Source organism: Homo sapiens, chromosome 13 (assembly GCF_000001405.40).
Source record: "Homo sapiens chromosome 13, GRCh38.p14 Primary Assembly".
NCBI classification, from domain to species: domain Eukaryota; kingdom Metazoa; phylum Chordata; class Mammalia; order Primates; family Hominidae; genus Homo; species Homo sapiens.
Genome location: NC_000013.11, coordinates 66,897,472 through 66,925,263, shown reverse-complemented (window position 1 = coordinate 66,925,263; position 27,792 = coordinate 66,897,472). Strand labels below are relative to the sequence as shown.

Genomic DNA, 27,792 nt, shown 5'->3' with positions numbered 1-27,792 from the left:
CTCGATTTTTAAAAATAAAATGGCTTGAACAAAGAATATTTAGAAATTGTATTTTAAACTCTCTGAACAATCATCTGTCACTGGCACCACACTTCTCAGTCCATTTAAAAGTATTTAAGAATAAAATATTAGTAGTTGAATCAAATTGACAGCGAACAGATTTAAACTTTATTTTTAAGCCATTTATGCCTTTTAGTTTTGTAATTTATATTCTTTCTATTTCCAATTTGACAGTTTCAGATCATTTGCTGAGATCTTCCATGTTTTTTATAAAAAAAATCATGTTTATATTTGTGTCATTCATTTATACATTCATCGTACTTTGTCGGTATTGAAAAGTATTAAGGGCTTATATTCTGCCTTCCAGTGTTCCAGTTTGCCCTGTGGAATATTGCCTTCTACTAATCCAAATCCCTACAGATGGAAATAGCAATATAGCTGCACCAGCCAACTCAAAATTCTAAACATTCTAACTCTGAGCAGTGAAATTCCTTTAATATTGAGCATACCTGCAGGTATTATGTTTTACATTTTTGTCATGAGTATATATTTCATGTATGTATGTAGCTATGCTCATGTATATATAGTTTTTATATAAGTATTAATATGCTCTTCAAAATATGTATAAGACTGATTATATACATTTGCAGATTATATGTTTGTTTGATTTTTGATTAGTACATTAGGAAATTTCTTATATATGTTCTTTACATGAAGAACGTCTCTAGTATATTTAAGTACTGGTAGAATCTAATTTTAAGTAGAATTATTAAGAACATCAAAATTCTTACCTCCACTCAGACCTAATTTAAAAAGATGATTGAAAATATGTACAAAGTACAGACACTATATTTTTATGTAAAGCAGATGCTTAAATCTGCAATGTGTTTGAAAACAATAACGTGGTAGGAAGAATACTTTAAAATAGGAATATTTTAAAATATTTTCAAAACAGTATTACCTGAAAGGGTTAATGCTTTAAAAATTAATCCTGAGCTTTATCTGTATTTGAAGACTTTCTGAGATAAGAATAGATATGTTGTTGAATATAACACCAGCGATTTGATTTGATAAGGGTTTAGAAGAGGGGTTTACAAATTACAGGAATAGTTTTTAAGTGATGCACTATTTAGGTTACAGGATTTGAGAAAAGGTGGTCTCTTTACTTCTATAGCATCATTTTCTTTTCTTGGCCCTCATGCTTCTTGCTTTACGTCTGTACCAACATGAGTGTGTGCTTTTGTAGTTGGCCCTAAGGTTGAAAGTTCACTGCAGGGAATAAATGCCGCAGCAGGATTCTGTATCTTTAAACGGTTTTTAAACATAAAAGTATTAAACCTCATTAGTATGATAAGTACTGTATTTAAACAGAAAATGGACATTTTCATAAAATAGTTTATAGTTAGTAAAATGAAATAATTGTGGAGATGCATTAATAAATTTTTGCAGATGCTAGTAACCATGTCATCCTCATTAATAAAGCAGTAATCGAAAAGTGCAATGGCAACACTTGGGCCCTCTAACCCTGCCAGGGAATTCACATCTGGGCTTTTTAACCAATTGGCTTTGTGACATTAAGCAAATTACTTAATCATTCTATGCTTCAGTTTCCTTATCTATTAAAATTAAGACGTTGGTGGTTGTATACATTGTATTGGGTAGTTATAAAGAACAAAAATAAGAGTATATCTGAGTTACCTATAGCTATGTCTGGCACATAGTTATCAATGTTACCTATGATGATAGATTTTTTATTTTAAACTGGATATTTTAAAAGCCAGAATTATATAAATTAGATATTTTAATTGTCTTGCTTAAGATAAAGTCTTTATAATTCAATTTACAGATTAAAAATGTTTGAATACAAAATTTTTAGAAAGAACTCTGTTATGAAACAGGGTTTACATATAATTATGTATACAACTAGAAGATGATCTGTGTTTTTCTCATTTTACTTTTTCTATATAGTCAAGATTTGGTGCATATAATTAGCTATGAAATGTGTGTCAATTATAAAACTGTTTATGTGTACTAGCCAGGTGCAGCAGTTTATAAATTAATTCTGTGAAAATTATTAAATTATTAATTATCCAGTTTCCCCTTATTCAAATGGTGAGCCTATAATTATGTGATTATATACTCACCAAGTATTTAGTTTTTATCAAATTATACATAGTTTTTAGTTATCTGAATCATGCTATGTTAACCGTGTTTTATTTTCAGTTTTTGACTTACGTATAAATATTCTCATCCCTTTCAAACTCTTGTGATAAGATAAAACTAAATATTTAATAATATGTAAATACAAAGTGAAAAAACACACTTCTAAAGTGTATTGGTTTCTAAAAAATTAATAATATAATGAGTTTTCTTTTAAAGATGAAAAAAATGAATGAGTTGGAAAAAGTAGCTAAACTTGATAGCATTATCATTTTTCCAAGTTGTATACAAGTTGTGGTTGGCTCTATCATCTGAAGAAAAACTTAACTCTAAAACTGAAAAAGAATAAGCTCCTCATTTCTAATATAATAGCAGCAAATTAGAGTTATCTGCAGTAGTAGCAATAGGAACAGATAGCATTATAAATCATCATATCATTGACAGACAATTACATTCACAACTTTCCAAGCATGAAGCAGTAGCAATGTTTATTCACCAACAAAGTTATTCAAGCCAAAAGCCCAGGGAGGCTATGAACATAAGGAAGTTACTTCTGGGTGAGTTGTTGGAATAAGTTTGTCCTATTACTTTACTCCTACACATTTGTAGAATCGTGAAAATTAAAGATACAAAATGTCTATTAGCATTCCTTGAGTTAGCTCTCCTGTCCATTTGGAAGCAAAGTGTACTACAGTTGTCTTATTCCCAGGTTAGGAAGGGAAAGTTTGCATAAAAATAAAGCAGGGAAATACTTCTCCTGGTATTGAAGAAGAAATAACTGATCAATTTTTAATAATTCCAAATAGAACATGACATTTACAGCTAGATATGTATTTTATATAATATCAAACATTTTTATAAAATATTAATAATTTTTGATGAAGTACATTTGTATTATACTTGTTTCCCACACAATTGTTTAATCAATTCACAGTCAATCACAAGATTGACTACTAGTTTCAGTTAGGAGCATTTTCTGATACATGAATATAATAAATTGAAGACATAATCTGGTTTATCTTTATGAAAATAAATATTGACATTACCTACAAATGAGATAAGTTAACCTAAGTCACAAGTCATCTCAGGGAATAGTTGACAAAGTTTTCATAAACTTTTTTTGTTCTTTCAGCAGTGATATTGACCTTAAATTGAACAGTAAATTGACCTTAATTGTTCTACAAATTGATTAGCTATGTGAAATCAGCTACTAATGACTTGAATACATTTCAGGACAGTTTAAATGACTGTTGAAACTATTACTCTTAGAATCGTTTTGTATATTTATCCAGAAGTTTTGCTAACCTCTCACCTCAGCCCCGCTGTACTCAAAATAGGAAGCAGTCAGATAACAATTCCCCTTTTATTAAACTACTTTTTGTATACGTGGTCCTCCCTTGAGGTCTGATATTCTGAGACATAAATCCTGTGTATTAGTCTTTTTTTATGCTCCCAGTGAAGTTTGAATATGTGCTTTTCTCCTGCTTTATGCAAAGCATATATTCATGACATATGTGTGTGTGTATTCATGTGGCAAATTTTAGATCCGTTAGGACTTCCGCTGAAATTGGCTTTGACTTTATATATTCCTGGTAAAATAAAGATGGCTTATCAAAGGACCATATGCAAAAAATACAACCCTTCACTCTAGTTTTGTCAACTGGATAAGGCAACAGAACATGCTCACGATGACTGAGTTGCCTAACTTACACAGAGAGCTATACTAAATCTAACTTTGCTTTTTCGGTTTTTTAAAAATACCCTTTCTCTCACGTAAATACAATGTCTGCTTGCATAGTTCCCATAATTAAAGGTAGTTAAATATATTGCATTTTAAAATGCTATTCAATATTTATAATTTATTTATTTTGACAGTATACCAATTATCTGAAGTCTTTTGTCTTGAATCTTCTGATTTACCAGGGGATTCTCTGACACAACTCAGTTATCTGCTCTTAGATTCAGTCTTGTAGGTAGAGATTTTTGCAAGAGGGAAAAAGAACTTCTATGAGGTTAAGTATATATTTTAGGATCTTTATGCATTATGAAATTCAGTATAAGCATTGATCATCTTCAGTCAAAGAAGAAACCTTCATTCCTAAATTCTGAGATTCACTCTAAGATAGTTTTATGTAAATGGTAGTGTTGCAGATTTTGAGGATAAATCTGTAATCTGGTTTTACTATAATTTCAGAGACATTCATAGGAAGAAGCAGTTTTTAAAAGATGGTTTGAAAATATACAAACATTCAGGAAGCTATTGTTTTAGGATACCTTTGATTTTGGAAAGGAGTATACACATATCTTTTTCTCTGAAAATTATAGCTCACTGGAAACAGGAATTCACACGATATAATTGATTTGGAGTATGAAATGCTATGTAATTTTCAATATATCCATGTTACATAAATGCAGAAAACTGCATAATTTTACATTACATGGCTTGAGGATTGGGGTTTTGTGTTTGTTTTTGCCTCAACAATTGCCTGTGAAAAGATGATGAATTGTGAGGTGGTTACAGGCTTTAATTTTTTGATTGAATGGAGGAATTATATTTATAGAAGGTCATTCACTCTGGTGGGGAAGGTTATTAATATAAGAAATTATGTGCTGAGGTAAACCACCTCAGTCAGACAGTGAAATCCATCATTCAAGACTTGTTTAGGGACATGCAAAATACACTGTAAATTGAGTGTCTCCCTTTCAAGGGGATTAATGCTACAGCTCAGGAATTTTCAGAAAGTTGTGATAAGGGTCCTGAGGTTTAGTGACAGTCAGAATACAGTTAAGCTTTTCCTTTTTTACCTGGAAACCTATTCAATTTTGGGATACTTTCTTTCATTCTTATTCTGCATATCTTCTTTAAAAATGCATAGGAAAAATCTGTCTAATCCTATCATTCCCCAGCAAAAGTTAAAAGTACATGTCTTAAAATGTGTGGGTTTATTAAGTCATATCTCTTACATGTAAATACAAACAGTGTTTAGATATCAAGTATCAGTTTTTCTGAACAATAGTATGCCAGTGCTTATTCTTGGAACAGTATCTGTAAGGGGAGCAGATAGCATATTATTCAGGTTATTGTAGGGGTAAACTTGTTATTGGTTACATGGATATATTTCAAGAATGTAAGGATGTTAAAAAAAACATTACCCTAATCTTCTATTTTGAAAAATGAACATCAGGATAGTTTAAAAACCGAATAAGAAATACGAATAATATATATAATTTTAAATTTTAATATTAACTGAAACTGACTTTGTTTAGTCCCTCATACTTTTCTAATTATTTCACATCTAATTATCTCATTTGAGTTTCTTGTCCACCTTCCTTGACAGGCAGAAGAGGGTTTTTTATCCCCATAGGGAGATTGAGGCCTAAGTGTTTTATCACTTGCTCATGGTTTTACACTGAATACAGTCCTTTTTTCCATTACAACACTCTGAGGACTGTGCCTCCGTGCAAACTCTCTGAACTAAACAATTCCAAATATTCAGTTTCTCCAATTAGCCATAGCAAATTTTTGTAGCTCTATGAATGGCAATGTAATGTGTGGTTCCACAGCAGAATTTGAAATTGAAAATACTGAGCTTATTTCAAAACAGTTTTAAGAATCTATTACCTGTCAGACACTATGCATAGCACAGAAGACATCAAGGAAGAAATAGACAAAAACATGCACACAATTAGCATACAGATGAATGAATGTTAAAGAAGTTATATTTGCTTCAGATGCCAAGGGGAAAGAGGATTGAGTAAGGAAGGTGTAAGCTTGAATTTTGGACAAGTTTGTTTTAAGATGCCTGAAGAAATCTCAGCTGAAATATTTAGCAAAAAATATTTTGTTTGTTTGGGATGAAGCATAGAACAATTAGTCCTGAAGCAGTAACTTTGGATGTCATCACTTAGATATATATTGCAGACAACTGAATGCACAGAATTGTATGAAGTTCCCCAGAGAAATACTAAATAGTGAGAAGATAAAATAACCAATAATATAGACTTGAGAAACACCAACGTGAAGTATGTTTCCAACAGGAAAGGAACAGTAAAGGATAGTGAAATGAACAGAGACATACAGGAGGGGAGAGATTAGCATTCTGGAAGAAAAAAAGAATGATGGCTTTCCAAGAGTAATTTTTGTCAAGTGTTAGCAAAGCTGAAGCATAACAGAATTAAGTAGGTTGAAAATAGATGGTGCAGAATACTCCTTCCAAAGTGCATGATGACAGAAATAAGTGGAAAACCAAAGGTTGAAAGCACAAGTAAGAGTTCAATTAATTATAAGTAAATTTATTTTGCCATGATCAAAAAATATCATCATAAATCTTTTACAAAAGAAGTAATAAAGTTGTATTATTACTTAGATTTAAATGCATTTGATATGTGGGGAGTACTTAGTAACCTTATCATAATAATATAAAATAGTGGGTCTATTTTATTTATGAGTACATACTCTACTTCTCTATTTTTTTACAAGAGGAAAAAATTAGTAAAATTTATTGCTACCATGATTATAAAAGCTGTTAAAATGGTAAATTAAGATACATTCATTTTATTTTTGCCTAAGTAATACTGAATTTGAAAGTTTGTTTCTCTTTTTTTGCTCTTACCATCAAAAACAATAATAAAGTGCTAAGTCTCCTACCAGTTTAAAAAGAGAGTCTTAATAATGTATAATGTTACAATTATAAAAGTCAATGTTGAACACACTTCTGGTTATAAGAAGCAAAAATTCACTTACACTAGCTAAATTAAAATAGCGATCTCGTGGAAACCAAGGAGAAACAAATGAACACTAAAGTCTTTATCTAAAATGGAGGCAAAATGATAAATAAGGCAATTTTTCTCTGTGCCTCTCTCTCCCTCTCTTCCTCTCCCCTCTCTCTTCCTCTCTATTTTGTACTTGCACATTACTCAAAACATCTGTTTACTTTAGACTGTATCTTCGCAACTTGTACATGGCTACAGTTGGATTCTGTTATACTCTAGCCCCTCAATTTCCATCTCAATCACCAACTGAGACCCTCTTCATTTCCTCTTAGCTTAAATGTTCACAAAATCCCTGGGAAGGAACCAATCATCCTCGAACATAACCATACACAGTTCATGACACTGGTCAGTCACCCCCAATTTTCCTTTTCTGGACACCTAAGACATATCATTTTCCTAATGTACCTGTTTTGTAGGGGAGAGGGAATGAGAGAGAGGTGATTATGTCCTGTATGTAGGGATGTCTCTTCAGGGGATTTGGGTATAGCAGAGGGAGCTGTCCTTAATAGTTTATCATATACATGATGTTAAAATGAAAACATGACACCTTAAACTTGCAGAACTGTTTATATTAATAAGGAGCATTATTACTCTGAGGCATTTTAGTAAGGGAATATTCATGTATCTCTTTATCTTTTAGTAGATTTAAAAGAAAACTTATGGCAGATTCTGTCTTGCGTATGTTCTATTTGTATCTGATTCTCACACCAAGTATTTGCCACTTCTTTTCCATAAACTTATTTTACACTGAGTCACTGAATAACTATCATAAAAACAAATAGCATGTCAACACATTTATTCGACCAGAGCCCTCTTGAGATAATATCTGGATTTTCATCAAGACTGTAGTGATTAGTGTTTCTGATTATGATAATCAAATAACTCATTAGTGGTTATGTTTCAAAAAGGATTTGAAATATAAAATGTTTCTAGAATATGGTGAGTCATTTGGCTCAGGCTTCTCAAAGATGGTAAAAAATGGAAAAGACAATTTTAGTCCTTAATATCTTGCATCAGTAAAATATATGTAAGGCAAGTGTGTACCAATTTTACAAGCAACATATTCTCAAAGGCCCAGTTTCGTGGCAGGCCATTTTAAAATGTATGCTTGTTTACACATGAAGAATAAATTGAGCAAAAGTTGTTGCTATGTCTAACTTGACTAAGTTGACATCAACATAAACCATCAAATGAGTGGATAAAAGTTTCAACAAGTGAAGTGTGTTTTATTAGCTGGTGTTCAGTTTATAAGGTAGGCAATTGAAATAAGGGAAAGTAGGAACAGACTTTATTTTTAAAGAAAACTTCATCTGCAAGTAGTTTCAGTTTAATGAGCAGCAGAAAATAAGGTTTTGTTATCTTTTGTATGTACTTTCTATTGCTTGTTTAAAAGTTTGTAACTATTTGCTGAATGCACACTTTATTAGGTGTATGTGTGCATATGGGTTTTCCTTCCTTCGTTAAGCTTCCCTTATTGTGTTTAGCTCTTTATTTGAATAAGACGATAAGCAAATTTCTATTCTTCTTCATGCTTTAGAGAGCTCACTAAGGAATAGGAATGGAAATAATATTCTGTAGTTTTGAAAAGATATGTACAATGGCATCAGCTTAAAAACACAAAGTACAGGTTGGTAAAGTTCGGTCAAATCTTGATCGCAATCAGCCATTAACACAACGGGATCCAAGTTATATGAATAAATTACATATACAGCTCTTAGACTCAGAGCTATATTTTTATTGTATTCACATACATTTTATTAGAGTATTTGATTTTAAACTCACCAGATCCTCCTTTTTAGCTGATCTTTTAGAATATCCAATTGGCCCTTTTGATCTCACAGATTCTGAAGAGATATTTTGACTTAAATAAAAGGTGTGTTTTATGAATACATTTTAATATTGAGTTAAGCAGATAGTTCCTTCAGATTTGGTTTAAAGTGTCTCCAGGGGAAGTTTTCTTCCCCCTATTAATGGCCATCTGGATTGAATAAGCTAGTGGTCTAAATCTAGTCTATTTTAGGTATTTGTTATTAGCCTTTTGCACAGTAGTGATCTGGGTGAATTGTGAGAAACATTGAGCAGAGTTCAAAGGTACTTTCAAAAGGATGTCAACATATAATTTAAAATACGGGATTGAGAATATATCTGAATTTGTCTTTGCTTCAATTATCTTAAAGGGAATTCAGATAATTTTTACCTTATGTCATCTATATAAAATACATCATTCAATGATCTCTGAATATTTCATCTCAGAGAAGTTAGTCTCTATGCTTTCATTTCCTCATCTATAACAGAGGTGAGGAAAAAAATCTGTAATGCCCCTTTCAACTCTAATACTCCATGAGTCTACCAGATATTGAAGTCACCCAAAGGGAAAGGAATTGCTACAAATTCTTACTTGCAAGCACAATTTTCAAGCCCTGTTTCCAAGCTCACAGTTTCTGTGCTACGGAGGGGAGAGAGAAAAAGACCTAATAGAACTTAAAAAGAGCTAGGGCTAAAAGAAAGGCAAAAAGGGATTCAGAGCTACTGAGCTCAGTGTCAAGAGGATGAATCATATTTACACTGATTTCCTGTTTCTTTTCATGTTGAGTCTCCAAGGAAGCCAGCTACCTTATGCTGCTGCTTTCTTCTACTTTGCTGCATGCACATAAACACCCCACAGATTCCTACCCTTTATAAGCTGAATAAAGTTATGTATATATATTTTACATAATCTGTAGCTGTTTGGGTGATTGCAAAATATTCTGGATTGTAGGATTACTTTAAACAACATCTTGCCATAATGATATAAGAACACCAACAGAAATTAGTGTTGTGTTCATGGTCTCATACTCTGTTTATCTTAGATCTCCTGGTAATCAAATGATAAGAAAAAAATACCTATGTGAGTAGTCTAGCAACATCTTTTATTTTACTTCATTGAAAGGAAGTGAAAAAGTTCACTTGGACTTGTTAGATCCTTATCATGTAAGGTTGAATAAAAAACTTCTATAAAAGAGCTTAGAATTGTAACAGAATGCTAATACAAGATCCCAAAAAGCCATGCTTCAATAAATAATCAGACTTTATATATTGTTTTTCCTAAAATTATTAGAATGTATATATTGCTTTTCCAAAATTATTTTCCTGAATTATTTATTATTTTCATTTCAAAGTGGATTGCTATTATCAGTATCATTAATATTAAAATAAATGTTTTATAAAATGTTCTCTATATATTGTTTAATCATGTTTAAATATTGCCCCCCACCTCCATATCATAGAAAACTACTATGAACTGAAACAATAATCCTTACTTGAAGTAAATGTATTTATTTTAATATCATTTTAAAACAAAAATACGGTTGTTCTCCAACAAAGAGATATCCATTCTGTATTCTTCTGAAGAACACTGCAGGAAAAAAACACACACACATTGTAGAAATAACACTATCTACTCTCCTGTTTTTGAATTTTATTCTTCTTTCACCACCATTTTGAATTTTCTAAAATCATATATATGTTGCTGAATATATCTGTGAGATGTAGAGAATTGATCAAAATGAACTTTGATATACTGTCAACTCTTTGAAGACAAAATTATTTCTTATATGTATTTTTAATGAAGTTCAAAACTATTTGAATGAATGAATGCATGTATGCGTTTATTTGAGAGAATCTTCATAAAAGTTACAGCATTCAATGTGCTTTTTGAGGAGAGTATACAATCACATAGTATTTTATGATTTTCTTCTCCAAAAATGAAATGTGTTTCTTAGTTATGCTTCATATTTATTAATATACATTTTCAAAGTAGGTTTTTGTATAGGTTTCTGTAATCTCTTTCGGTTTCTTTACATACCTCCTTTCATCAGGAAAACAATTTCATGAGGATAAATCAGAGAAGTGTTCGTATTCCACAGAGTCTTCTAAGTGTTACAGTTCTGTGGCCTGAGGATTAAAAGATAAACAGTAAAGTAGTTTTGCGGAAGTTATATTAGTTTGAAGCTTGGAGACAAAGGAAGTAATTCAAAAGACAGACTCTATTAACAGTGACTACATCTACAGACATTTCCTTGTTTGTTAAAGTATATTCCTTCAGGGATTCTTTACCCAGACCTATAAGAAGAAACATTTTTAAGACCTTGAAAATAAGCATGTTTCTCGCATACTTTGATTTTGTTCCTTAAAACATACAGAACTTTCATTTTAAAAATAGATTTAAAAAAACACTCTGGCCTTTTAAACATTCACAGTTAGTTAGGTTTTAGGCTTGTTGAAGAGTTCCTATCCAACATCACTGTAATTAGTTTCTTTAATTTGGCCTGATTTATTCTAAACTATTCCAAAAGGTATTCAAAGCACCAATTCTTTTTCTGGAAAGAAAGTGGAGGTAGAGTCAACAAACATCAGGCCTTTGATTATGGTGTTTTTCTCTTTGTGAATTAAAAAAACATGTGGAAATGAGAGTTAAAAATCATAATTTAGTTTTAATAGAGTAACACATATTTTCAGAGATATCAATGAGATAAGCAAATGTATAACTAAAGCCATGGTGAAGTTTCATCTTTCCTACAGTCCCTTTAACAACGAAGCATTTAGATCAACTAATCATTTATTTACATCATTTTATAGAAGTCTAAAGTTAGAGATATTAAGCGAATGAGCAAATAAAAATCTATCAAGTTTTGAGGTAACATGTATAATAATATCTTACATTTTCGACTTGGATAAGCAGAGGAGATCCTTTGGTCTAAACTTACACAGTACGGAGAAGGCCACCAAGGCTGTGAAACTAAGTCAGATGATGATAGAGCTGAGGTTCAAGCCCAACACCCCCTACATAGCCGGTGGTACATTTCCAGGGTATTCTGGAACATCCTTTTTACTCTAAATCGGTAATTAAAAAGTGAGACATTTTTACTCCTAGATACTGTACAAGTTGCATAAATGAATTTAAAATCAAAACATGAAACACTCCACTTGCAAAAACACAATTTGAAATGATGTATTCAGAGTGTAGGGTTTGTTTGTTTGCTTTTAGTGCACTATAAAAAAAAGAACTTATGCACTCCTTTCTCTCTCTCTCCCCCACCCCATTCTCTATGGATCTATACTCTTACAAATATAAATTCAAGCTTCAGGGTTGGTTTTATAAAGTTTTGCACAGTAAGAGAAGCATAGTAAACCACTGAACTTTTTAAAGAATTTGCCTTGAAAAGACAATATTCAAATAACTGACACAGCCTTGAATTTTAAACCCACTTTAAAGCATGCCAGATTTGAATCTCCGAATTTATTACCTGATTTCATTGGCTGAAGGTTGACTTGCAGACTGTTTCTAAAGACTGGCATGCACATAGCCAAGGCTAACATTACGTTGAAGGTTTATGTTGGGCAAACAGTTTTCATAATACAAAGAAATATAACCAAAATACTAGAAATTATATTCAATTTAGGCTTTTAAAACTCCTCTCCTTACCACAGAAATTTCAAAATGTAATTATAATTCTTAGTGAGGATATTTTTTCAGAAAGATTTTGCCCTAAAATCCAGGATGCATTTATGCTAAGTATTACATAGATTAACTTAGTAAGGTATATGGTTTATTTATGGCACTTTTATAAATTTATAAATAAATATTTGTATTAATATAATGTATAATTTTTCAAATATTTTAAAATGAAATATTTTATGCATATATAGTACTTGATTTTGTTTAATGAATATTCCATGAATACACATTTATGCAATCACTTACATGAACAAGATAATCACATACATAAAACATGTATTCATAAGCATGGTGTGTATGTGTGTGTGTGTGTGTGTGTCCACACTTATGAATGTAATTCACAAATGGCCACCTTTGTATAGAAGGAGAATATTTTCTGCCTGGAGAGCCCATCGCTATACACCTGGGCTCGTCTCCATTTTAGGCTCATATATGCAGTTAATGGAACATGCTATAAACTAATACTGTTGTTTTCCAACAAGTCAGTTTCAGTATGTATTTGTCAGTATTTCAGAACTCCTTAGAAAGTTTAGAAAAGGGCTTGACTTGTGTATTCTGAAACACCAATTATCTGGAGAGAAAATGAAACGCAACAGTAGAAATCAGCAAAGGCAACTGATTATTTTTCCATCTCTGAAGTCTTTCAATTTAATCTGGAAATGTTCACCCTTAAATTCCTAGTGAACACTTTTAAAACAGGACCTCTCCAATTATATTTGAAATTTAATAAATGTTTAGTCAATCTACTTTTATCTGTGTTGCAGAAATTTCCATTTTAGTTTTTCTTCAAGGTACAAATACAGTTAAATGATAATCATATGGGGAAACTCCCAGGGATTTTATCGCAGTAAATAATGAAATAAATTGAAATGAACTGCAAAACAATTGTCTTAAATATAATCCTGACTAACCCTGGCACCCAAAAATGTCTGTTGTTGTATTCCTTCGAATACGTTTGAAGAGAAGTATTTATTTTCATTTCTTTTCAAGGGTCTGGGAAGTTCCAAAGTCCTGCATTGCTTGCATCCACTTATTTAAAATACAGAATTAAGTTGCAATGTGCAAAGCTGACTAATAGAGCTTTGCTCAAGCAATATAACATGTAATCCTGTAATTTAAAACCTTTCAATGCATTATTGCTCTTGTGAAATGGCTTTACAGTAAGGTAATAATATAAGGAGGGAACCAATGGAAAAATTGTAAAGTGTAGACCATTAGTGTTTGAAGTATACTTTCTAAGGAAATTTTATTTCAGTGCGTGCTCATAGCAACTGGGTTAAAAGAATTGCATAAAACTCATATAACATCCATGAACCATTTAAAGAAAAAGTGACATAATGTGCACAGAAGCAGCTACGATTTGTGATTCTCATAAAAATGGTTTTGTTTTGTTCCTCCTTGGTTAGTAATGACTTGAAATTGCATCCAGTTTATCTCTATTAAGTTAGAGAGGTTAGAAGTATAGTAATTACTTATGAAGGAATTTACAGCCAGATGTGGGCAAATACATGATCTTATTCCTGTTTTTATTTATTCATTTAGCAGAATTGTGTTCACACCCCCATGCCCAGCAACCTAGCACATCTGCCTTGAACAGTCTTTGGCACATTTAATGGTCAGTTCTGTTACTGCACATTTAGAAGGAACCTGCTGAATAAGTTTGACATAGAGTTCTATTGCTTAATTCTTGATTGCATTACCAAAATTTCTATAAGAATACAAAAAACTATGTTTGCCTTTCTCTCCACTTTCATTAAATAGTTTGCTGAGAAAAGGAGAATAAATTCAGCCTAACAGAGCTTTCTCCAAAGCTAAATGATTATTTATTTTGGGAATATAACTCTATTGCTATCTCTGTCTCCTTTATTTCTGCATTTGTCAAAAGTTTCTTAAGAAAAGCCTTGAAAGTCACACATAGACAGAAACTCAATGGAACACGCATTCTCAGGAAATGGACAATGCACAGAGTTGCTAAAACTTTATAGTAACCAAGATATTTATGGCAAAAGATTTCTCTGAAATACCACTTACGCAATAAAAGGCTAGGATAAAGCTATTTTTTGGTTACGGTACGTGGCACCTAAACATTTTATTAAATTGTTAGAATTGTTTGAAAAATGTCAGCCAGCCTATGATAGAGACCATTAAATCTTGGAATAGCATATAAAAGTAGAATTTCTAAACAAAGAAAAAAAAAGTGTTTTATCTGGTACATAAGCTTAATCCACTTACTGAATTACTTCGGACTTTAAGATCCTTAGCATTTTTTCCCCAATCCTCTTTTTACTTAAATTTGTAAGATTTTTTTACGCATAAAGCATTCTTATATCTTAACTGTTTTGGAACGTACTGGTTCCATTTATTGTACCATAAGGTAGGGAATTGAGGTAAATATTATACAAACACTTTACAAGTGACCCACTTGCAACAACTAAGTGCACAATAAGAAATATATCTTATCATTAATTTCACTTGATCACATGGAACTATAACTAAGGGAAGCCAACTGGTCTATTTAATGGCCTGTGCCAGAAGACTATATAAAATCAGCTTTTGTTTTCTCATAAATCCCACGTGCAACAGTCAGTTTCTCACTGTTCATTGAGCTGTAGTGACTACCTCCATCTGGCTGGACCCTCTGCAAACCTGGTTAAAAAATAAAATGGCTTGTTGGAACAAAGGAGAAAGGAAGTGCTTTTGAGGGAGAAGAGAGGACTTTTCCTACCTTTGAGACATCAAGAAGGAAGACAAAAGGGTATCTCTAGGTGGAAAGATCTGGAATGGGAATTGTGAGGACAGAAGAGGACTTACATAGAGGAATTGATGAGCATTATCTGTAGGGTCAAGAGAGTATTGAAGGGTGTCAGTCAACTTGCAGTGGGGTTGAAGAAGCTCTGCTGCCCCTAGAAGAACTGAAAAGGTGAACTTTGCAAAATCCACTGGGTAGGAACATGTGTCAGGGTCCCGAAGTTGAACATAAGCTTATTTGTTTGTGCAATGGATAAATTCAAGTTTACCTAGTTAGTTAATATATTACTGTGACAAAGTTACTCCTTGTCATGAACTGCCAAGAGTTCAGTTGGAGGAAGAAAGCATGATGACTAAGCCAAATGCTCAGCGCACTGCAAGCTCCGCCTCCCAGGTTCACGCCATTCTCCTGCCTCAGCCTCCCTAGTAGCTGGGACTACAGGCGCCCGCCACCACGCCCGGCTAATTTTTTGTATTTTCAGTAGAGATGGGGTTTCACCATGTTAGCCAGGATGGTCTCCATCTCCTGACCTCGTGATCCGCCTGCCTGGGCCTCCCAAAGTGCTGGGATTACAGGCGTGAGCCACTGTGCCTGGCCTCTAAATGGATTTTCAACATGTGTTTTTTTAAAAGGATATGTTTTTTTTTTTGTAATTCTGTGAAAAAGGATGCTGGCATTTTGATAGGGATTGCACTGAATCCATAGATTGCTTTGGGCGGTATAGTCATTTTAACAACATTAATCCTTCCAATCTATGAACATGGGATATTTTTCCATTTGTGCAATCTATGATTTTTTTTAATCAGGGTTTTGTAGTTTTTCTTGTAAAGATCTTTCAACTCCTTGGTAAAATATATTCATAAGTCTTTTTTGTAGTTATTGTAAGTGGGATTAACTTCTTGTTTTGGTGCTTGACTAATATTTATTGTTGTGTAGAAATGCTACTGATTTTTGTGCATTGATTTATGTCTCAAAGTTTTAAAGAAAAAAATTTAAAGAAGAGACTCAAAAAAGCAATTAAAAAAAAACAGACTCTGTATACTATAGATACAGGTAACATTTCCTTCATATCATTTTAGGGTCTGCCTATTTTTCTTATTTCACATAAGCAATCCCTGTTTTTAAATTAATGTGTATTATAGCCATCTACAATTCTATGATATGATTGCATTTATATAACATTTGGTTTTAAAATTTATCATACGACATTTTCATTTTAAATCAAAATATGTGTCACTGCACCTGAACACTGATTTGTTCAATAAAGTTTGATGAGCATTTTAGCTCCATTTTCTAGTTATGATTAAAGATAACAAAAATAAGCAAAAAAAGAAGGTACATAGAAAACATTAAAGAAAAGGCTGTGAGTATAGGCTCAAGGTTTCCTTATTTGGGCCAGAATAAATTTCAGGATACTAAATGATCAGAACAAATTTTCAGAAATAATAAGAATCTATACTGTTGGTCACTTAAAATATAAATTTTATTAGTTTCTAGATGTAAGTATAAAGATATGTGCTTTGATGAAATAATGATTGGGGGTGTTCTAAGAGATCTTTTCTTATCTTATGAATAGAAGATTGTTCCTGTGTCTGAGAAAATATTTTGGAAACAGAACCTGTTCAATATGGGTGTAATTGCTTAAACAGACTCCACTGAAGAAAACACTTTCTGAGGAAGTACTCAGTTTTATCCTCTCTAGTCCTTTCAGTTTTGACAACAACACGAACAGTTAAATGATTCCAGAGAGAGAGCAGGAGAAGAAAGAAAGCCATGAGTGTATAGCATCCTTGAAGGCCAGTACATAAATGAAACAAGAAGAGGTAGTACTTAGTTGTGTTGCATTAGATAAGAACTGAGAACTGCCATTTGCATTAGTAACGTGAAAACCATAGGTGATGGTAGCAGGGCCATTTCAGTGGAATGGGCGTGCTTGAAACCTAATACATGTGGATCTCTAAAGAAATGCATAGAGAGAAGTTGAAGATACCAAGTTTAGACAATTATTTAAAGTAGATTCATTTCTGCAAACATAAATTTCTTTGGAATTATTAAACAAATGTTCTGTTTTAGAATTCTTCATGAAAAGGATCCTTAGTTTTTTAAAATGGGTAGGAATAACGTTTTCAGTGGGAGTTTTTAAATAAATGGAATTGTTATTTAATGAAACCTATAGCACAAAAGTACAAAACTATTGCCTCTATAATGACTGCAAAACTTCTATGAAAGTGCTATTGATTTTTAGTAAACAATCTTGATTTTGTAAGAAGGTAGGAGTAGTAATAGAATAATAAATAATACTAAGCATTGCTACTGCATTACCATTGAGTTGAAAATGTAAAGAACCCCCTATTTAGCAAAGAAAACAGCTGTGTTTTTCATAAAAAGATCTTCCATAAAACTTTTGTTGTTCTTGCTACTGTTGATTATTTTTCTCTTAATATGGCTAGAAGTGCTTTTTTGAAAATTTATTTCAAAAATGAAAGAGTAAAAATACCTGATTATGTGAAAACTTTGAGCAGATATGTCTATAGGTAGTGAATGATAATTTTCCCAGGAACTACAATGGATGTTTTGGAGTGGCATGATTTATCCACATATTGCAATACAGACTTTCAATCATAGGTGATGAAAAATAGCAAACTGGTCTTAAAGTATAAAACAAATGTACTTTCAGTGATTTTCATTGAATATGATTGTTGTTATTGAGCTTTAGACTTCTCAAGTTTGATTTACATATGTACCCCCCAATATAAATCTGATTTAGCAAATGCATCTTACCCATAATTCAATACGCAGTTATTTATATTAAATTGGGCAAACAGTAAAATTTTTTGGTGGGATGAACCTTGAGAGTTTTTTATTTTATTTTTTTCTTTTTGAGGCAGAATCTCGTTCTGTCGCCCAGGCTGGAGTGCAGTGGTGCAGTCTCAGCTCACTGCAACCTCCAGCTCTCGAGCTCAAGCTATTCTCGTGCCTCAGACTCCCAAGTAGCTGGGATTACAGGCATGCACCACCACATCCAGCTAATTTTTATATTTTCAGTAGACGGGGTTTTGCCATGTTGACCAGGCTGGTCTCAAACTCCTGACCACAGGTGATCCGCCCACCTCGGCCTCCCAAAGTGCTGGGATTACAGGCGTGAGCCACTGCGCCCAGCCGAGACTTTTAAAATAAATCTTTTTTTAGAAAATGCTGCAACTCTCCCGGAAGTAGAAATTTGTTAGGGAGGATTCATAGTGATTAAATTTTTTCCTGTAAGAATTTTTTTTCTTAAAAGTTTGGGTATTTATAATAGTTAATCTCAAAATATTGTTTACAGTGTTACTTTTTTCTTTTATTTTGCTCTGAGTTATATATTAATTTGCAGAAGAAATTTACCTCAAAAGACTCAATTTTAAAAAGTAAGGAAAGAACAGTAAGTTAGAAATTTTCCTTTCATGCCATTCACTGTTCCAAAAACAGGAGCTGCTCCAGAATGAAACACAGGAGAGGCTTGGGGGTGAGATCTTTTAGGGATGGAAGGACTTAACTGGGCATCACAATGATATTCCAAATGCGCTCATTTTGTTATGTTGCATATTTTCTTGGAAAAGTTGGAAGAAAAAGAATGACCTTTAAAGCTCACTCTTGGCACTGTTGGCCCTTATATTAAGTCCAATTCTATAACTTCTCACTATATGTTGTGCTATTGAATTAATGCACTGATAGTTTCTGTCTGTTCTGAAATCAATCCTCACATTCTTCATGTTTGAACTATTATCAAATTACTCATGGCTCATGAGAATTCATGTTTTCTCACCTTTGCATATGCAGTTCCTTCTGTCTCAAATGTGTGCTAACCATGATTCCCTCATCAGTCCACCTCTCGAGACTCTCTATTCATGTATCAAATCTGGGAGTCTATGCATGCTCTTCTCTGTCCCTTAGCAGTCTGCATACATTTTCAGGTGGCATGTTCACTCATCATGGTGGTTATTTATTTTCATGTATTGTTTCAGGGCTAGAGTGAGAGTATTACAGATATTAAATGCCATATCTTGATGATCCAGTACAATTCTGACACATAACATGCACTCAGTAAAAGTCTGATTATCAAACAAACAAACAGAATAAAATGAGTGAATGAATGAGTTATAGATGAACCCATTAAGGGAGATATGGTACAGTAGAAATTGCCCAAAATAGAGTGAACACTTGTCCTGCTTTTACAGGGCAAATCCTTCAGCAAATGGCACTGAATATACCTGAACCTGTGTCTTCCTAATCTGTTATAGGATGGATTATGTTTTCTACCAGTCTACAGAGGTTCCTTGTAGATAATACATAAGTTCTTGTATTTAAAGCATAAAGTATTATACAAATATAGGATTTTTTTTTCAGGTTCAGACACTTTTATGATATATCCATGGGGGAAAAAAACAATATGATGGGTTAAATTTTAAAAAGGAAGAAAAAATTCTATGGAGCAAGATATCAGATTGAAATCGGAGTGAGGCCAAAATTTACTCTAGCTTCCTGAGGGCTAGACAAGGAAGTTTTAACCTTAACCCAAGGATTCTAAACTCTGGCTACACATTAGAATTGTCTGAATATTTTAAAAATATTTATGTCTGAGCTTCAATTTAACTGATGTGAGGTGGGACTCAGTCATTGACATTTTTAAAAATCTCCCCAGGTGATTCTAATATACAGTCAGGGTGAGACTCACTGCTGGGCCAGAGAAATTTAGGAAATGTTTCTTAGGAGAAAAACTATATGATACATGAAACCTTTTAAAAAGATTAATCAGCATGAATAGATATGTGGAGAGGCTAGGGATAGGAATTGAATAATTAAAATGTCTATGGACATCACAGATGAAAATAACTGTTTTAAGGTCTATGCTTTTTTTTTTCTTGAATGCCAAAAAAGCTGCTGTGAAGCCTTTGTTGCTAACAGTGAATTTGTTCAGACAAAAAACTTAGGAACATTCAAATAATTAACATTACAAGGGAACATTTTACAAATTACACATGAAAGTTACTTAGAAACAGAGGTTAAAATGGCAATCACCATTTGTTGAATGACGCATGAAAAGAGTTGCTAGAGGAGGTAAGTTTTGAATAGAGTTAAAATTAAATTGTAGAGAGAGAACAGATATAAAATATTTTTTCATGCTAAAAGGCTTATAGTGATGGATATATGGATTTAAAGTCATGCCTTCTTAGTTGTCACATAGCTATTTATTTTAAACAAATAAAAATAAATGAGATAATTTATATCTTCAAAATGTAATGACAGTGCTTTAACATATATTTAAATATATAAAATGATGGTCTTGAAATGAAAATAGAGTGAACACAATATATTAAAATTCTAAAACACATTTGCTTTTAAAAATGTCTAACAGTAATTTTCTAACAGATTTTACTTTGAGATAGTAAAGGTAGCATTTCATTGATGAATAGGAAACATGGCATACTAGTTTTGAAAAGAATAGTCTCTTTGCTTGTAATGTAATGAAATCGATGCATATATTATAGTTTTATTTAAGAAGAAAAGGTATATATCAATGATGAACCTTTTCTGGGGGCACAACAATATCTTTTTATCAAAGTAGAAACCTTAAAACCTACAAAGTTATGTTTAATAAATGGCCAGACAGCAATACTTACAAATATTGCTTGCCTTGAGTCTAATAAAAGATTTAGAAAAGAAGTAAGAAAACAGGAAGTGGAAAATGTCTTATTTTCACATGAAAAAGTTGTGTGAGGAATATGGAAAACTGTCATTTTAATATGTTCACAGAGAAAGGCCAAGCCATAATGTAATATCTTATGTTCTATAATTCATGTCAATTTCCAGGTAAATTATTTTAGATAACCTGTTTTTTAAAAATGCTTTCTATTTAGTAGAAAAATAAGTCAACTAGTATTTTAAGACACTACACTTCTGTTTTTTTCAGTTTTATCTATTTCAAATGTATCACTTATAAAGGTAGTTCATGTGGTAGCTAAGGATATGGGGAATGGTTCCCAAAAGGCTGGGCAACAGCACAGCTTTGTTGGGGGAGGAATTATGCTTCAGTCTCCTCTTCCTTAAGTGGAGGTAGTTAATAATATCCATGTCACAGGCTAATATGTGTATAATATATATCAAACTCTTAAATAATATCTCACCCAAATAGCACCGTATAACTTTTAGCTACCAAAGTCATAAATGTAATAAATAAATATTGCCTAAAAAAGGTAAAAGTAAAATTACTAAATTTTATATTTCTTTAGTTTTAGTAAAAGTGTTTTAACAATTTGTTTATCCTGGGACAATTAAAAAATCTTTATGGTAAAGACTCAATCTTAATGCATGTATCTCTGGGTGTGGACCCTTGTTAGCTCAAGTGGTATTCCTTTATTAGGCTCATAGCAAACAGCCATGTCTCTCAATGGACACTCTAAATGTGGAGTAGTTTGTCACAATTATTTGGTAATCTCTTTCAGTGTAACTCACACAGCAAAAGTGACAATATTCCTGTCACTCCTCAGAAATGTCCCAGCTCCACGGGTTTCCACATTCAGGAGAATGAAGAAAGCCATTACGAGGTATGCCATATATCTATAGAGAACATGTTAGTACTGATAAATTTTCATTTTCCTCATGATTTTAAATACTCTATCTTAATTAGTATTATTGTCTTTGCCCATCTCTTCTGTGGTCACATTTTTATACTAATGTTTTTGAAAATAATTTTAAGTAAATAATTTTAGAACAAAAATCCAGCGATATATATCTTTTTTTTTCTGTTGAGTAATGATCCAACTCTCAAACATAATGTTAGTAACATGGAATGAAAAGTACTGATTTTTACCTATTTTTAAAGAAAGTAATAAGCAACTTTCTTTTAAAGCTAGATGTTCTGGATTGATTCATATTTATTAATTGAACTAAAAGAAAGGCACAACTATTTTGAAAGGTTAATTCGATTCATCTCCCATACTGAGGAAAATGAGAAAGACATTGCTGCTTAATATGACTAGTTAAATTTGAATTTTAATGAAGTTTTCCTTTTTTTTTACTACTTTATATCAGTTTGATCTTTTATTTCCCTGTATTTTTGAACTTGAAAGACATTACTTTCTTTTTTAAAAAAGTTAGTTCATCCACATTAAAAGGTAGAAGATCCATAGTTGTTCTTTTCTTATTCTTTTATGTTGGAAGGGTTTTTCCAGTGCCAATTATTCCAGTATGGCTGGGTATAGAAATCTACTATCTTTCATGTATTTTTTTTTAAGTCATGGTAAAAAAACACATAACATACAACTTACTATCTGAGCCGTTTTTAAGTGTAGAGTTCAGTCGTGTTAACTATTTTTGCATTGTTGTGAAATGGAAGAAGATTCCCATTTTTAAAGAATTATGTTTTAATAGTTAACTAATATTAAAACATACATACTGTTTCACGTATTTTTTTACAGCTGTAACATATAGACTGTAGAAAGAGAGGTAATGCATGTGTATGCGTATGTGTGTGTGCCTGTGTGTGTATTCTGTTTTCTTACAGAACGTAGGTCCCCTCCATTCCCTTCAAACCTTTTCTTAATCATGATTAGTAAAAAAAAAATTGTAATAATTATTGCTTTTGCCATCTAAAGGAATCTATTATTTTCAAAAATCCCACTGGTAATGTATATTGAAGAAACTACTTTGATTAATATAAACTTAATATAGAAAGCAACTTCTTTTTAGATAAAACATTAGTGGAAGTTGAAAGAGGATTGAGCAATATTTCGAACAGCTCTATCCCCTAATTCTCTGCATATTTTTATTCTATTTCTTTTTCTTTGTGTGGGTCTAAATACTTAGAAATGATTTTCTAAACTTCAGCATATATACTTTTTTATATTTTTCTTTCTTTTTTTATCCAAAGCCTAAATCTCTTGAACATTGAGAGAAGAACCATAGTTTCCAACCCTTTGATTTTTTCCTCTTCACTGTGTATGTTTCAACTATCTAAGATAATACAATTGTTCCCATTAATTACCAACAATAACACAATAGTTCTAATTGGATGGCAGAGAAAAATTTTTTCTCATAAGTAAAGATTAAGGTAAATAGTACAAAACCCTACCCAGGATGTTGTGCAAGTCATTAAGATCCAAGTGGATTTCAGATTTCTAAGAATTATATTTATTTTTATAACATTTTATGTTTGTGTTTATTGACTTAACCATACTCCTCAGAAACCATATTCCTCAGAAAATCCCTTTGATTACCAAAGGTGGTGAGATGATTTATTGGAGATTTTCGTATTTTTCGTAGAGAATATAAATGAGACATAATTCAAATAATTTTCTATAAATCATACTTTTTTCTCCCTTAGATATTTTATAAGGTCCGAAGCACAGGAAGACAGCTTGCACAGGGTTTGACTAAAGGTCTAGGGAATTTGAAGAAAAAAAATGACATCTAGAGTTATGATGTTTATTTATATTATTAGTCCATTTGTGAAAGAACAGTGAAAGTAAATCTACTATAGTTTATTTATAAACAAAGAAGACAAAATATTTTTATAAATCTTTCATTCCGTAAATTCTCATTTAACCATCATTCTCCAGGCCCATTTTCTCTGAATGGTTTTGAACTAGGTTGTCTGGAAGGTCCTACCCATCCCTGATGATCTGTGATACTAAATAATGATGACGATATTGACAACTTATGCTTATTTAACAGCATAGTTTTCTACAGTTAAATATCTTTCTGTGTTAAATAGTACCTCATACTCTGTGCTAGGGACTGTTTCAAGAAGTTTATATGTATATTCTCCCATCATTCACATTTTGTCCTTGGTTAGTCTAAACTGTTTTTGATCATAATACATTTAATTTCTTTAACATGCATTTTGTATTAAATTCAGAGAGACAATATCTGAAATTTCTTATAAAATAAAACTTGAAGAAAACAGATAAGTGATGTCATCTTTCGAGTTTTTTTTAAAACATTCTAAGATGCAAGGTTTCTGTATAAATGCTTAATATCTGTAGACCAATAATAAAATGGGCAGTTTTAGTAACCACTTTTTTAAGGTTATTAATCTAGTGTTAATTATTCTTGAGAATTAACAATGAAAGGTGATTATAACCTACAAAATTGGCATCTGAAATGTTATTTTTCATTATATTTAATTCTGTACTGAGCCTGGTAAGTGCAGGTATTTTCCTAATTTTTATTTTTTCACAATTTATATTTCCCCTCCCTTTTAATCACCTTAATATAGTAACAAGAAAGATGATTGTTCTGTTTAACACACACAAATATTTAACTGTAGAAAACTATACTATTAAACAGAGTCATGTTCGGTGTCAATGAGTGCTGACTAATCTGGATGAAATTCTTAAATTTATATTATGACACTAGATACATAATAAAACCGAGACTGATGTGACCAGCAAGCTTTTAATTATTATTAGCTTGTTATTAACCTATCACTCTTAATTTAGATGTAAGAAGTATTGCTTACTTATAGAGAAATGTTATATCAGCTATTGAGAAAAAGTTGTGCCAGACCCTATTCTAAGCACGTCATATGCATTATAATAATTCTTCTCATCTACCACTAGAGTATAAACATGCTACAATTTTATGTACTGCTAGGGTAAAATGCTGCCAATTTAACTCTGACAAATGCTTATTTTTGATTTCTTTAATATTTGTCCTGTTTTAATACATGCAAAAATAAGGGGTTTTTAATATTAGAATTGTTGGAATATAGCTTATTTAATTCTGACAGCAATCCCATTAGGTAGGTATGATTATTATTCTTATTCTACAGATGGGAAAAGGAGACACTGAGAGGTTATGTAATTTGCTCAAATGCACACAGACAGGAATGAGTGGGCTGGAAGATAGCCACAGCCACATGGCTTCAGAAACTGCAAAGATAACTATGCCATGATATTATCTAAGTAACAGCAAACAAACAAAAAACCTCACAGGCTATTTGATTGTCAGAGACCAGAGATTACCTATGCATATTACTGAAACATAACGTGAAGATAACAGCGATTGAGTAGCTTGCCCTACCTCTCAGAGCTAGCTAGTGATAGCATTAGAATTCGATCCTAGAATTACTGATCCCAGAGTAATCTAAAGACTTTACCTTCAAACACAAAGTTTCCAAACAAATGTTAAATAAAATAGTTTATACTTGAAGTTCTTTCTTAAACTAGATTTTAAAAATGGTGTGGAATTTAAACTGTCATGTTTAAGTTTTCTCTCCCTGACATACCTTTTGTCATTGGGTACACAGAAACATTGCAATGATTAAAATCGAAGCACCGGAATAAAAAAGTGCACATTGTTTTTATGCCATAAATGCATAATGCCTTTAATAAGCATTTTTGATCCGTATTTCATTGTCACTTTGTTTCTATTATATTTCATTCCCTTTTCCCATGAAACAGTATATAATGCAAGCAGAGCTTTCAGTGTCTGTATTCTGCAATCTGTAGGAAAATGTCTCATAGTTATTGGAATTCACACAAGACTGCATCTCAGTATGAGTAGCTCTTCCCTGTCACTGTTTTTGATGCTTGAGCTAAAGAATATTTTACAAAATGGTTTAGTGTTCAGTGTATGAATTTTTGAGATAGGACTTCTCCCTTGTAGGGGTGAAATCCGAAAATCAGTGTCAGATGGAAATCTTAGCTCTAAGAGTTAGGGAGATTGGTGGAAGGGTTTTAAACTAACTGTGAATTTTAGCCTCTAGACTTTGGAAATGTGGCAGTTATCATGAGTATGAAATTCATGGATGCAGATGGTTGATTAAGATATCCCAGGATGGGCCACTGCTATAAATCTCCACAGAAAAATTGAGAAAACCATTTTGATAAGGAACATATTTTTGACCTTTTATGTAAATTCATAACACAGGTTTTGCTGGATTCATTAAATGCGTATAAGTGAAATAACCATTGGTTTCATAAAATTGCCAATTGAGTCATGTGATAGAAATATTTAATAGAATTAAAATATGTCAAATGGTGAGTAAGAGGGGTGCGTGAGAGGAGAACTCCCATGTATTAAACTATTATTATGTGTCTTGTATTTCACATTTTCTACCTAATTCAAGACAACTGTCTTCAAGGTAAGTCTAATTTCCCTCCACATTAAGATAAAGTTATGGGTGCCTAGGTGATCTTGAGCCTACATCACCAACCAAGGACACACTGATAGCTAGAGTACAACGGGGCTCAGTTTGTTACACAGCCTAGAACTCTATTGTTTAAATAATACCAAATGGAGCAGGAGCAAAATGGTAACATTATCTGCTACTTTTAAATAATAAAATAGGAAAGATATAAAGCCAAAACCCTTTTGCTTTTGTCTTACTTGGTCTTTTATTTTCTTTTTAAAAAAATATTCATACACGAAATCTGATTTAGTGTATGAATATTATACGACACACCTTTATTTTCCTGTTATTGCTGTATTATGAATATTATACCACATACCTGTATTTTCCTGTGCTTCATGATTATGTAGTCATATTACCCAAGTATATTTACATAATTATGTACAAGCACACAAATAAATATGTTCAGTCCTTAGAATAGGTGTTCTTGTTGATATCAGCTTTAAAACTAAAATAATTAGGTAAATCATTTAGCAATAATTCTCTGAAGATTTTTACATTATATTTTAGAGTAATAAAGTTATTTACAATTAATAGATATTTACTAATAACACTAAATTTTTTCTTTCTTCATAAAGACAGCTTTTTGGAAAACCCCAAGGCTAGTAAATGACACATATACACACACATATATGTTATTTACATACTTAAATACATGCATACATATTTGGGGAATAACTCCTAACATATTAAAATATTTAAATTGTTAGTAACATTGCTCTCCAAAGTGCAATAAATTAAGAAAAATGATAAGCAATATTTTACATCTCAGTCACTGTGAAACATTGCATATATAACAAGTATTAGAGAAAGCATGTTGGGCATCAGTCTGGCTCACTCACTAGATAAAGAAGTTTTTCACCCTTTTACCATGAAGGTTCCAAAACTGCACCTCAGAAAAATGGCAAATAAAATACATCATGGACTGGAGAATTGTTAGAGTTAAGTCCTGACATGCCCAACTGGGAATAGTCAAACATCTTATGCCATTTTAGGTAAGATTGACCTGGAAAATAATTTCTAACAAATCACAGGACAATTTCTGGCTACAATTCCAAATAGCATTTAGGAATCTTTGCACTTAATATAGATCTGTTATGTGAAATGTGTGTTATATAGAGATAAATTTTCAAAAAAATCATTAAAATATTTGACAGGCTCCTATTACTTGCTAAATAAGCATATGTAAATTTGTAACAAATTACCAAGAATTTAAAGAACTTATACTGCAGTAGTATAGAAACACTACATACACTCATGTCTAATGCCTATGTATAATACAATTTTCTAGAAACATGAATGTTGGTTTATTTCAGACTATTGAACTTATGCTTGAGAAAATTTTGTGTTAATTTTAAGAGGGATGTAGGCAAATATGAAAACAGGCATATTTGATCAACCCTCTACTACATGTCTCTGCTTTCTGATGTGAATTGATTTCAT

General features: G+C 32.0%; 1 protein-coding gene and 1 long non-coding RNA gene across 7 annotated transcripts in view; one reads left to right on the top strand and one right to left on the bottom strand.

Moving 5' to 3' along the window:
* Positions 1-27,792, top strand: part of PCDH9 (protocadherin 9) — a 927,503-nt gene that overhangs the window by 305,073 nt on the left and 594,638 nt on the right. For 4 of the 6 annotated variants that reach the window (XM_017020619.3, NM_001318372.2, NM_203487.3 and 1 more), the window contains exon 3: positions 21,659-21,760. The exons of the other annotated variants lie outside the window; for them this stretch is intronic. In XM_017020619.3, coding sequence (XP_016876108.1) covers positions 21,659-21,760 — 102 coding nt within the window. The remainder of the gene's footprint in view (positions 1-21,658; positions 21,761-27,792) is intronic. 6 annotated transcript variants of the gene reach the window in all.
* PCDH9-AS2 (PCDH9 antisense RNA 2) overlaps positions 10,233-27,792 on the bottom strand; it is an 89,863-nt gene continuing 72,303 nt past the window's right edge. Inside the window, exons 5-6 of the long non-coding RNA NR_046527.1 lie at positions 10,778-10,866; positions 10,233-10,327 (exon numbers count right to left, since the gene is read on the bottom strand). This is a non-coding gene — a long non-coding RNA (PCDH9 antisense RNA 2). The remainder of the gene's footprint in view (positions 10,328-10,777; positions 10,867-27,792) is intronic.